This window comes from Homo sapiens, chromosome 5 (genome assembly GCF_000001405.40).
Source record: "Homo sapiens chromosome 5, GRCh38.p14 Primary Assembly".
Taxonomy (NCBI): domain Eukaryota; kingdom Metazoa; phylum Chordata; class Mammalia; order Primates; family Hominidae; genus Homo; species Homo sapiens.
The window spans coordinates 128,518,306-128,530,711 of record NC_000005.10 but is presented as its reverse complement, the minus strand read 5'-3'; the positions used below and the strand labels follow the sequence as shown (position 1 = coordinate 128,530,711).

General features: G+C 37.6%; 1 protein-coding gene across 2 annotated transcripts in view; it reads left to right on the top strand.

Moving 5' to 3' along the window:
• FBN2 (fibrillin 2) overlaps window positions 1–12,406 on the top strand; it is a 280,337-nt gene that overhangs the window by 7,534 nt on the left and 260,397 nt on the right. For both annotated transcript variants that reach the window (XM_017009228.3, NM_001999.4), the window contains exons 3-5: window positions 19–117; window positions 2,745–2,840; window positions 11,344–11,439. In XM_017009228.3, the coding sequence (XP_016864717.1) occupies window positions 19–117; window positions 2,745–2,840; window positions 11,344–11,439 (291 nt within the window). The remainder of the gene's footprint in view (window positions 1–18; window positions 118–2,744; window positions 2,841–11,343; window positions 11,440–12,406) is intronic.

The window sequence follows — 12,406 nt, the reverse complement described above, 5'->3', positions numbered from 1 at the left end:
CTATTGTGCTTTCTACAGCGATTTGTAGAAATAGTTGTGGAGATGGATTTTGTTCCCGTCCTAACATGTGTACTTGTTCCAGTGGGCAAATATCATCAACCTGTGGATCAAAATCAAGTATGTTTCTTACTTGTGGCCTTTTCACTGCATTTTTCTTAAGCTTTGGAGCAAATGCTAAAGGTCCTTCTATGTGCCAGGGAGTTTTAACTGTTATTACTTTAGTTAATCCTTACATCAACATTATGAGATACTGTTAATACCCCATTTTACAGAATAGCAAAGTAAAGCACACATAATTTAATTAACTGGCCCAAGGAAACACAGACTTGAATCCAGGTATTCTGATGCCTAAGTGTATAGTCTCAAACACTAGACTGTATTTGTTGCCTTTGCTTAACATGTGTTTTGTGGGTTATCTAAGGGGGAAGGAGAGGAGAACTCCAAAGGCAGCATGTGTTTATTGAGTACTGACCACATACTTTACACATAATGGACCTATTTTGCTTCACATGTATTAACTGCCAACAACTTCATAAGATAATTATAACTGTGGACTATGATTGTGTGATTCATGACCCAATTAGAAATTGTTGGGTCCTTAAGGTCGAAGATTAATCTTTGAGGCTAGTATTTAAGATAACATTATAACAAGGCAGAAGCAAGATTGTTTATTTAATTGCTCAATAATTAAATAAATGCTTTCTTAAGTCTTGCCTCAAACTAGTGTGAAGTCATTATATTTTTAATACATCTTTCTTCAAATTTTCCCTAAAAGAAGGTAATATAGTATGTCTGACTCAGGAATAAGATTCAGGATTCATACATCAAATGCCATTGTCTTCTGATGAAACTCCTGATGAAAACTCTCTTAATTTCACTTCCTTTGAATCTGCCATTTCCTCAGCTTTTAAAACCTACCATTCAAATTCATCAAGATTTCTTGACCACTTTAACCAGAACATTTCATCCCCAACTTAACCTGAACCTCTCTTTCTTGCCTGATTACCTACAAGATACTGTTGCCAGTATGTTCATTATCCTGTTCCTAGTTTTCTCATATTTGCCTTTGGCAAAAAACACAATGCTGGAGGAATTTTAAGATTCAGTTTCTTAATTCCTCTACCTGGGAGCTGGGACATTCTCTGGTCCACTCTTTGCTTGTGGTATATAATTTAGCAGGGAATCTGTGCATTCATTTGGCCTTGGGCAATCCTTCCATTTCATCAGGAACTTTTCTAACCCTCCCAATCATCATCCTGTTTGACCTTGCTAAAGCTTTTGGCACTATTAATCATTATCTTCTTGAAATGTTGTTTTTCATTTTCTTTGAAACACCCTTGACTTTTAAAATGCCAGTGGCCTTCAGTGCTCCTTTTCTTGATCATTCCTTTTTAGTCTCTTTTCTATGTCTTCATCAGTCTTTCATTCAAGGTTTGGTATTCCTGAGTTCTGCCCTCCCTGGGTGAACTCATGTTTTCAATGACTACCAATCTGTTGATAACTCATAATATTTATCTACACTGGAGATCCCACCACTGACCTCCACACTCATATATTCCCTTTCCCATTTGACATCTCCACTCAAGAAATAGCAAGCAATTGAAACTTAGTAGCATGTCTAAAAGGAAACTGAATTTATTGCTGACCACAGGCTACTTGAACCACACAGTTCCTCCTGCCTTGGCAAATGGCTCTGCCATCCACCCAGTGCTTAAGTAACTGCTGCTTCTCTTTCTCTATGTCGGCTCTTTAAACAAGTCCTGTAGGCTTTACTGGAAAATAATTATCTCAGATTTATCTTTTCCTTTCCATCTCCACTGCTACCATGTGGTGTAAGCTATCCTCATCCTTCTCCCAGACTCTCGCCCTCTTCAAATCCGTTCTCTGCAGAGCAGCTAGAGTAATCTTTTTAAAATATAGATTACATCACTTCACTTTCTCATTTAAATCCTTTCAATGACTCCCTGTTGCATTTGGGATATAATGAAAACCCTTCGGTGGCCGAGGAGGCCCTGTGTTAGCTGGCTGGTCTCTGCCTGGGTTTCCAAGGTCTCTTCCCTGTCTGCCTCTTTTTAACCACAGGAATCTCTCCATTCTTCAGAAGAAACCTTTTACCATCCTAAGGTCTTTTGATTTGCTGGTTCTTCTCTCTCTGAAGTTTCTCCGTGGTACTTTTAATATCTGGCTTATTCAGTGTAAATGTCACCTCAGAGTGGTCTTGTCTAGTGCCAGTATCTAAGCTCCTTCTTGGCTCCAGACTAGTCTCCTTCACAACAGTTTACTTCAAACAGTTTATCACAGTCTATAATTACTTAGTGGTATTTGTTTACCTGTGTTTTCCGTAGCTCCCCATCGGAATTCAAGCTCTGTGAGGATAGCTTTCAAGTCCATTATGACAGTACTGCACTGAGCTGGAATGGTGGGCACTCACCTCCTGCATTCTGAATGGAGACAAAAGTGCCTCCTGCTTTCCAGAAACTATGCTGCTAGTCACCTTCTGTTTATTTTTTTTTAACATTGGAAGTGTTTTCAATGCATCCTGAAAAACATGTTATCACAGATATGCCCATGTGTGCACTTATAAAGAAATGATGAATAAAAATATGTTTGGGTCATAGTATTTCCTTCTGTAAGATATAATTGTCATTGAATTGGATAATTGAGTTTATAGTTTTATAACCTCTCACATATACTATAATTTTGATGACTGATGTTTTTATACTTTTTGTTATTGCTCTTTGCAGTTCAGCAGTGCAGTGTGAGATGCATGAATGGTGGGACCTGTGCAGATGACCACTGCCAGTGCCAGAAAGGATATATTGGAACTTATTGTGGACAACGTAAGGGACATTGATTTATTAGAAATCATTTGATTTGGTGGATATTTCATATTAAGTTATAATTTAAGGTCTCATAAATCCTGTGATCTTTTGAAAAAACAATTTTATGTAGTAAACCATACCTTAAAACTGAATTTCTAATTTTTATCCTGTAAGAATTTTTCTAATTCTTTTAGAATTTTGTGCTTTAGAGCAGTGATGTTCTTGAATAGTAACTAGTCAACAACTGGTAACTAGTGCTTTAGCAAATGTGACACATCTCACAGATTTTCTGTGATTTATTTTTCCTTTATCTGGCTCCATAAAACATGTATACTTTCCTGAAAAAAAAAGAGCAAGTTTTCTGTGATCTTTCTTTCTTTTTTACTTCTTCCTTCCCTCTCCAGTTCCCTCTTTGTATCTATGATTTTTTAGAACTTCTCAAAATTAACCCCAGGAGAGCCAATCTGATAAATTATCCTTTGCTTAAATATATTTAATACTAAGATACAGGGTGATGAAATGATTTTTAAAAAGCAGATGTTATTGTGAAACAGGGAGCTGTAACCCAGCAAAACTGGTACCTTCACTGGAGAATACCCTGTATGAATCAAGAAATAACCTTTTAGCAAGAGTGTAAGGATTGTAGTTTCTGGATTGTGACACATCACTGTGGAACATTTGGGTAATCTTCTCTAAATTGTGGGACATTTTTGGGAATTCACATATTTTGAAGTAATGTCACCTTATATGACATTAAAGAAGTGTTATTTCTGAAATTGAATCACAAATATAAGTCCCTTTTTACTTTATTTGCATTTTTACCTGATGTAGACTATACGTTCCTGCTAATCTTCAAGGCTTCCTTAAGGATTGCTGGTCTCTTTTTTAAACATAGAAAAACCAAGTCTTAGGTGTAAAAGAATATCTAGCTTGTTTTCAGTTAACATTATTTTATTTTTCTTGCAATGAAAAATTTTTTTAAATTGTTGTAAAATATACATAACAAAATTTACCATTTTAGCCACTTTTAAGTGTATAGTTCAGTGGCATTAAGTCCATTCACACTGTTGTGTAACCATCACCACCATCCATCTCCAGAATTCTTTTCATCTTGGAAAACTGAAACTCTGTACCCATTGAACAGTAACCCCCATTTCCCTCTCCCCTGCCCCGGGCAACCATCATTTACTTCTGTCTCTATGAATTTGACTACTTTAGGTATTTCATGGAAGTGTAAGCATGAAGTATTTGTCCTTGGGTGACTGGTTTGTTATACTTAGCATAGTGCCCTCAAGGTTCATCCGTGTTTTAGCATGTGTCAGAATTTTCTTCATTTTAAAGGCAAAATAATATTTCATTATATGAATATACCACATTTTGTTTATCCAGTCATCTGTTGATGGACATTTGAGTTGCTTTCACCTTTTGGCTCTTGTGCATAATGCTGAAATAGCTGTTTGGGCCCTTGCTTTAAGTTCTTTTGGGTGTATACCCAGAAGTGGAATTGTTGGATTACATGATAATTGTATTATTAATTTTTTGAAATGCTGCCATACTGTTTTCCACAGAAGCTGCACTGTCTTCCATTCCTACTAGCAGTGCACAAGGGCTCCACTCTATATACTTGCCAAACCTTGTTATTTTCTGTTTTTTTTTCTTAAATAATAATAATCATGCTAATGAATGTGAAGTTGTACTTATTGTGGTTGTTACAGTAATTTCCAAGTTTGTCTTGTAGTTAAGGTGATTATGGTAATTATAACTTTCTATTTATAAGTGCTATAAAGTTTTCTTTAGAATAATTTTATGTAAAATAGGAGTATCCATTTAAAGAAAGATATTCTGTTAAGGTCAGGGGTAGGTCAACTTTTTTTGTAAAGGCCAGAGAGTATATATTTTAGACCTTGCTTTCTCCATTGCAAATACTCAACTCTGCCATTGTAGTGCAGAAGTGACCATAGATAATATGTGAATGAAAGAGCTAGGATGTGTTTCAGCAAAATTGTATACTTTATAGACACTGGAATTTGAATTTCACACAATTTTCACTTGTGACTGAGTATTATTTCTTTGATTTTTCAACTACTTAAAAGTGTCAAAATTCCTCTTAGCTCATGGGAAGTACAAAAATAAGCAGTGGCCTAGATCTGGCCTTTGGGCCATAGTTTGCAGATTCCTTGTGTGGGTGTGGGTGGTTCTCAGGTATGACAAGAGGAGACTGACTGAAGTTTGAGAAATGGAGGGTGAAGGTTTTTAAGAGAATACAATACGTTGAGGCCAGTTTTCTAGCAAGAATAGGAGGGGCCAATGTGTTAAATTCTCTAGGCTAGGGTTGGCCAGGGGAGGCTAAGAAAGAACTGGATAACAGTGGAACAGATAAATGCAGCAGAGTTTCTCATTCCATGGATGATACTTTTTCTATATTTTCTTTGTACATTCAGGTATTTCCCACATTTTCTACAACAGACTTCTGTTTATAACCAGAAAAGAAAGACAGAAGTCTATCACGAACACAGTATTCATAAAAAGATAGATTGATATATATTTTTAGGCCTTAGAAAAGTGTTAGGATATCTGATTGCCAACTCTGTTTTGCAAAGTTTCATAACCAATGAAGAGACACATCTATCCTTGTTGAAACACATCCTTTTGCTCTGTAGAGGGAAAAATGAAAATTAGAATCACTGAAGAAAGCGCCTTGCCTTGCCTCAACTGATCTTTCAGAGTATTTGCTCAAATCTGTCCTGAAATTAGCTGTCTTCAGTCTGAATTAAGCTGCTCTTCATGCCTTGGGCATACGTGTGTATGTATGTATGAGGGTTGTACAGAACACGCTCTAGTGGGTGTGTCTCTTGTTCTTCACACAGGAATGAGAAGGCAGGGGATGGAAAGGACTTTCCGCTTCTAAAATGCTTTGATGTTCTTCCGCCCCTGTGTCAAACCATATTGATGTTACCACATTTTCCAGTCAGAGGAAAGGCAACATCACTGGGTCAGAAAATCAGCATATACTGAACATTTGTTCTCTAGGTTTCTCATGGGATGACATCTTCCTTAATGTTTACCTCAGGGATAATAGAACATATAGGGGAAGCAAAATGTGTAGCAAACACAATTTATTTGTCAGCAAGTAAGAAGGTAAAGGTATGATAACTAATAGATTACCAGCTCAAGGAATGGTGTAAGGAAGATGTTTTCCAAGTCGTCTTATATAGAAAGAGTGTTACAATACTGAGAGCAAAGAAGCAGATGGAACATTTTTCAATTTATGAATCCAGAAAAGTCTTGGAAATAGGATGCTTGCTAAAATGAACATTATAAAACATTTAGACTGCTTAGCTGCTTTCCTGGAAACAGACAGCACTTCTTAGAAAGCATTCTTCTATTTCATCCATTTCATTCAGCAATGTTGATTGAGTAACTACTGTGAATAGGTAAGATAATACCCTGGCCACATATTCTGGTAGAAATGACAGTTAATACTAAAAAGGTAAATACCTAATACACATTTAGGTAGCGAGAAGTTTTAGGAGAAGAATAAAGCAGGGTAAGAGGGAGAGAGTCTGGGTCAGGATTAGCAGTTGTCTGCTATTTTACATCAGGGGTCTCTGAGAAGGTGACATTGAAACACAGATCCGAGTCTGTGCCTTTAAATCTATGGAAAAATTGTTCTGGACAAGTGAAAAGCAAATTTAAAGGACCTGTAGTGGGAACAGACTCCATGTATTTTGGAAACCGTAAGATCCATGTCCCTGGAGTAAAGTGGGGAAAGGGAAAATGGTAAGAATTGAGTTTGGAGAGGGAGGTATAGGGCCTTGTAGTAGGCCAAGGAACAAAATTTGGACTACAGCCTAAATATTATGAGAAGTCACTGGAGCATTTTGAGCAGTGGTGTTCTGTGACCTGGTTAACATTAAAAAAAAATCACCTGTCTGCTGTGTTGAGCCTGGATTATAACAGAGAAAAGGAAAGGGCCATGTAGGAGGCTACCACAGTGGTGCTAGTGAACAATGCTGCAGCTGTAGTCGCTGAAGATGTGGTAAGTGGTTGTATTGAGCTTGTATTTTGGAGGTATACTCTGATGGACCAGGCGTGGTGGATAAAAAAAAATAGAAAAAGTAAAAATCAAAAGTGACAAGGAGAGGGTTTTGGTGGAGCTGCTGGATTAATAGCGATGTCATTTCCAGATACGGGAAATACTGTATAGGGAGTGGGTTGGGTAAGGAGTGGTGGGGCTGAGGATAAGAGTTTTGTTTTGGATTCATTAGATTGAGAAATCTGTCAGACTTATAAGTGCAAAGATCTATGAACTCTGATCTTAGGAGAGAGGTTGGACATAGAGATATAAATTTGGGACCGTATAGACCGAATTATTATATAGATAATATTTTAATCATAGGCTTAGATAAAGATCATTAGGAAGTTGTTGTAGCTAAAGAAGAGAGTTGAAAACAGAGACCCAATTCAGCCCAACATTGTGAGATGGGGAAGAGGAAAAGAAGCCTGCAAAGAAGAGTGAGAAAGAATGGACATGAGGATGGAATGAAAACTGAGAGAGTGTGGTATCCTAGAAAACGAAGGAAGAAGGCAGCACCAATAGCAAAGATTTATACCTTCCTATGTCAGACAGTAGGCTTTTGTTTCTTTCCTCTTGTTAACATTTTAACTTGGTTTAGAATGCTATTTTTCTAACACATTTGTGTAGAAATTACAATCATGATTTCAGACTTGACTTATGCCCAAGTGTCTGCGCCTCTGCTGAGTTGTAAGGGAGTCTGTCTAATAAAAATATATACCTGACCTGTTACCTGGCACAAAGTAAGTGCTCAGTAAATATCTGTTGAATAAAAATGTCCTCTAAATATCTGAGCTTTTACAGTATGCAACCAACCCACACAGGAAAAACAGTGTGTTTTCTCCTTCTAGGATTTTGGTGGGCAGCTAAGAAACCAGCTCATACTTCTATCTGTAGTACATCTTTTGCTCTCTTGCCTTTCATGCCACTGTCATGCTAGGTGTAAGCACAGTTTTCTTCCTGAGTGGTCAGCGTTCCTTCTGTGGTGGAAATTTAGGCATTTTCCAATTTTTTTCTGACTCCAGTTGAAATATAAGTTGCTGTTTCCATTCTTTTTTGTTACAAAAAAATATGTTCTTTTGTAAAATACCTTTCATCATAATTCATTTGAGAAAAGGAAATTCACCATTTTTGGTTTTTGCTTCTACTTTTATCTGTATTTCCTGCTTCTCTTCTTTTGCTATTGCTCTTTAATGTAAACTTCGGCTGCTGCAGACGTCTTGTCTTACAGAACATTTTCGTACAAATGTTCTATAGTTAAAAGAGGAAGGAAATTAAGAATGTAGAATACCTTCAGCGTGCAGCCACTGTGCACTTTGTCTTATATGCTATTTTATTTAGTCCTCAAACGTCTGTAGGGGAGGAACTGTTAAGTCTCTTTTTGCAGGCCAGGAAGCTAAGAATCAGAGAGGTGGTGTGGTGAGTGGGTGCTGGGGACAGCAGAGCTCATTATTTGTTCACTGCACCATTCTGCCTTGCGAAGTACTTGAAAAAATGCCGTGAAATTTTGATGTGCGGGAGTTTGTTGAGTTCTTGCAGTCTGTCAGATACCACAGTAGGTGACAGGGATTCAAAGGCAAACAGATCTGGCCCTTGTCCTGGGGGAACCCACTCTCACATGAGAGACAGAAATACAAGCAAATGGTTGTATCAGTGGCCCTTGATCTTTTTGTTCATAGGATCCCTTTACATTTTAAAAAATTATTGAGGTCCTCAAATGTCTTTTGTTTATATGAGTTCCTTCAATATTTATAGTATTAGAAATTAAAATTGAGAAATTTAAAATATTTATTGATTCATTAAAAATAACAAGAAACCCATATTATAAGCTAAGATAAATATTTTTTATAAACAATAACTATAATTTGCAAACCTCCAAAAATCTTTAGTGAGAAGGGAGGCATTGATAGTCTAACCTAGACAGATTAGATTAGGTTTAATTTGTAATGGGCCAGCTCTTTCTAGGAGAAACTCAAGGTTCATCCAGCCTTGTTCTACCTGCGAATTGGAAACTTTGTTTTGGAAAACCGTGGGAGAAGCCCTTCCTCCATTTACCGGAGGTTGTGTTCTGAGTGTTACAGTCAGTGTGGACAGCTTTTCCCCAAAGGCTGGCATTGTGATAAGAGAACACATGGGAAAGTGACTGTAATTTAAATTTCCTACAGCTCAATAGCATTTAAAGAAAATTCCACACATTTTAATTGATCACATTACTTTGGACTTAGTATTTTGCAGTGCATCTTTTTAACAATTGATTTTTTAAATCTTTCTTTTTTAAAAATTTAATTGTATTTTAATTTCTGGGATACATGCACAGGACATGCAGGTTTGTTACATAGGTAAATGTGTGCCATGGTGGTTTGTTGCACCTATCAACCTATCACCTAGGTATTAAGCCCCGCATGCATTAGCTATTTATCCTGAAGCTCTCCCTCCCCCTGCCCTCCCCAGACAGGCCCCAGTGTGTGTTGTTCCTCTCCCAGTGTCCATGTGTTCTCATCGTTCAGTTCCCACTTATAAGTGAGAACATGTGGTGTTTCGCTTTCTGTTCCTGTGTTAGTTTGCTGAGGATAATGGCTTCCACCTTCATCCATGTCGCTGCAAAGGACATTATGTTGTTCCTTTTTATGGCTGGATAGTATTCCATGGTGTGTATGTGCCACATTTTCTTTATCCAGTCTATCATTGATGGGCATTTGGGTTGATTCCATGTCTTTGCTATTGTGAATAGTGCTGCAATGAACATACGCATACATGTAGGAATCTTCAAATCCTGGCAGTTGTTTCTATGGAATTACTGCACAGAATGCTCTCATAGGTTTTGTTTTTTCCCACCTTCCCATCCATCTTTATTTTTTTCATGTTCCCCGTGGCCTTTTTTCCTTTTCCTTTCTGCTTCGTATTTACTTATATTTCAAGTCTGCCCATATTTCAAGGCAATGATGAGTGGGAAGTGCTATGTAGGACTCAGCTGGAGATAGGTAAAGAAGCAGAAGGGTATGGTTCCTAGGGAGCTGTACTTGTGCAGAGACACACAGAATCATGCCTTTAATTGAAGTGTAACTTATCAACAAATGCCTCTGAGGCCATTGGCACAGTGACGCTTTAAGGTCAAGATCATCTTTTATTTCCAAGTGCGTTTTAGTCTTCTGACCATCATCAGCAGAACAGAAATCACTCTGTGCATTCTGGAGATGATAGGCAATCTATCCGGTTCAACATACCTGATAAGGAAATAGCAGCATTACTGTGCTACTAGATATCAGTATACTTATTGAGTTTCCCATTTTATGATATGTACCTCACTTGAAGTGTTTGGCCCCCCACTTCCCTTTAATTTGAGTAATTAGTGTCCTTCAACTCCATTTGTGGACACAGGTCATAGAATATAATCCTCTAATTCATTTGTGAGGACAAATGTTTCAACAGGGTGGGTAGATAGGGAGACACACTTTCAGTATCAGTATTTTCTCCTGGAGAAGATATGATTCTTGAATTCAGCTGTCTTCATTATGGATCATGGGAATACTTAGGTTCCAAGGATTCTAGAGAGTGTGATCTTTTAGGCTGAACCGAGTTGCAGTGCACGGCAGTTCAGTGGGGAGAGGGGAGTGGTTCAAGTTTACTGGCTCCCTCTTGGGCTCATGGAACCCTAACTCCTGGTCTCCCAGGTCACAAGGCTAAAGGAGCAAAAGAGAGTGTGTGCTGTGTGTTTGTCAGCATGACTTTGGAAACATTTGGATTGTGAGTTAATTTTATATGAAAAAACATATTATGCTTACACAGCTTTTTTTCCCTTTTTTTCTTCTATGACCTGCAAATAGTCTCTACACATTGGTTACTTCTTTTGGCATTTTATAGCTAACGTTGATGGTATTTTCCCCCCTTTTCTTTGTTTTGCCCTTCCAGCTTTACCTTTTCCCCCCTTGGCTTCCTTTTCTTCTCTGATTTTTCCTTTTTCCCTTTATTGCCATATCATTTTCATTTTTTCTTATTACATTTTTCTCCTCCTACTCCTTCCCTGTGCTACCGGGATCGGCCTCTTTTTTCCTTCATTTCCCATATTTTATTCATTCCTTACCAGTGAAAATATAGATTATAGGGTTAGTAGTACAGAAATTGAGGGTTGAGTAGTTACATTCTAAATGAGCATGAGAGCCAGCGAATATGATTCTGATTAAAAAAAAAACAAAAAACCTTTTACCAAACACTTGCTTAACAGTGTGATTTACATGAAGTATGTAAGTTTTTGTCTGAATATACTTAAATATATTTACTTAAATTTAAGATGTGAACTTTAACCTGTGTAATTTATACAAGTTGCAGTTTAATTAACATAATGTACTATAATTTAACATAAGATCCTTTATTGGCAGCATCACTGCACTACTATATTGTGCTTGGAGACTGGCTATATAATGAGCTTCTTGCTATTTTTGTATGCAGCTGTCTGTGAAAATGGATGTCAGAATGGTGGACGTTGCATCGGACCCAACCGCTGTGCTTGTGTTTATGGGTTCACTGGTCCACAGTGTGAAAGAGGTAAGAAGAGAAATGAGACTTTACTTTCTGAAGAAGTCTATTTTATTGTAAAAATGTATAATTTTTTGCTATTCAATGAAGATTCTGCTAATGAAATTATATTTTTACTCTTCTTTGATTATGTCTCTAAGTTGAATGGTAAGATTTTGAGACATAGCTAATAGTGGCAGAAGTGTCTCAACTTTTTCCACCAGTGAACTCAGTTTGGGCGGCCAACTCTGGGGCTATGGCTCTAGGGTAATTTTGAGTGAGTGACTGATGGCAAATTCTAATAATGTGCTTAATTCAAATTAGGAGGCATTGTTGAAAGTACTGCTTCTGTTAAAAATGAAATAGTGTCAAGTTATCTTTGGCTGCAAACCCCACAAAATCTGACATAAATTGTCCTAAGCAATAAGGAAATGTATAACATTTCACAACAAAAAGTCTCGAGCTAGTGGGCCTCAGGTAGGATGTGATCAAGGCTTTTACCCTGTTACTCTGTTTCTCTTGACCCTGCCCTCCTTTATGTTTCACTTTTTGTCCTAGCCTGAACTTCTTTGTGTTTGTAAAATGGCTGTCAGCAGTCACTAAGGAAACATGTTTCTTCTTCACCTCTTGAGACAGAAAACATCTCCTCCAACTGTGGGCCAGCAATAGCCTCCAGAGACACTTTGTACGCTGCCTGGTTTAAGCTTGAGTTTTTAAAATAGTTCATGGCAAAGTGGGGGGTGGTGGTGGTAATATGTTTGATGTAGACTTACCAGGACCTGTCGTTGCAGCAGGAGATGATTTAAGCTTCCCCAGAGTCACATGGAAGGGATGATTGGGTATCTGAAGCCAGTAGAGCTTCCTTTTGGTAAGAGAAAAGGGGTGGAGGGATGGATGCTGGGTAGGCATCCCGCATTGTCCAACTTATTCATATAAATGGTTAGTCAAGCCAATGTGAAACCAATTTACTATGATTTGAATAGCAGTTAAACTCATG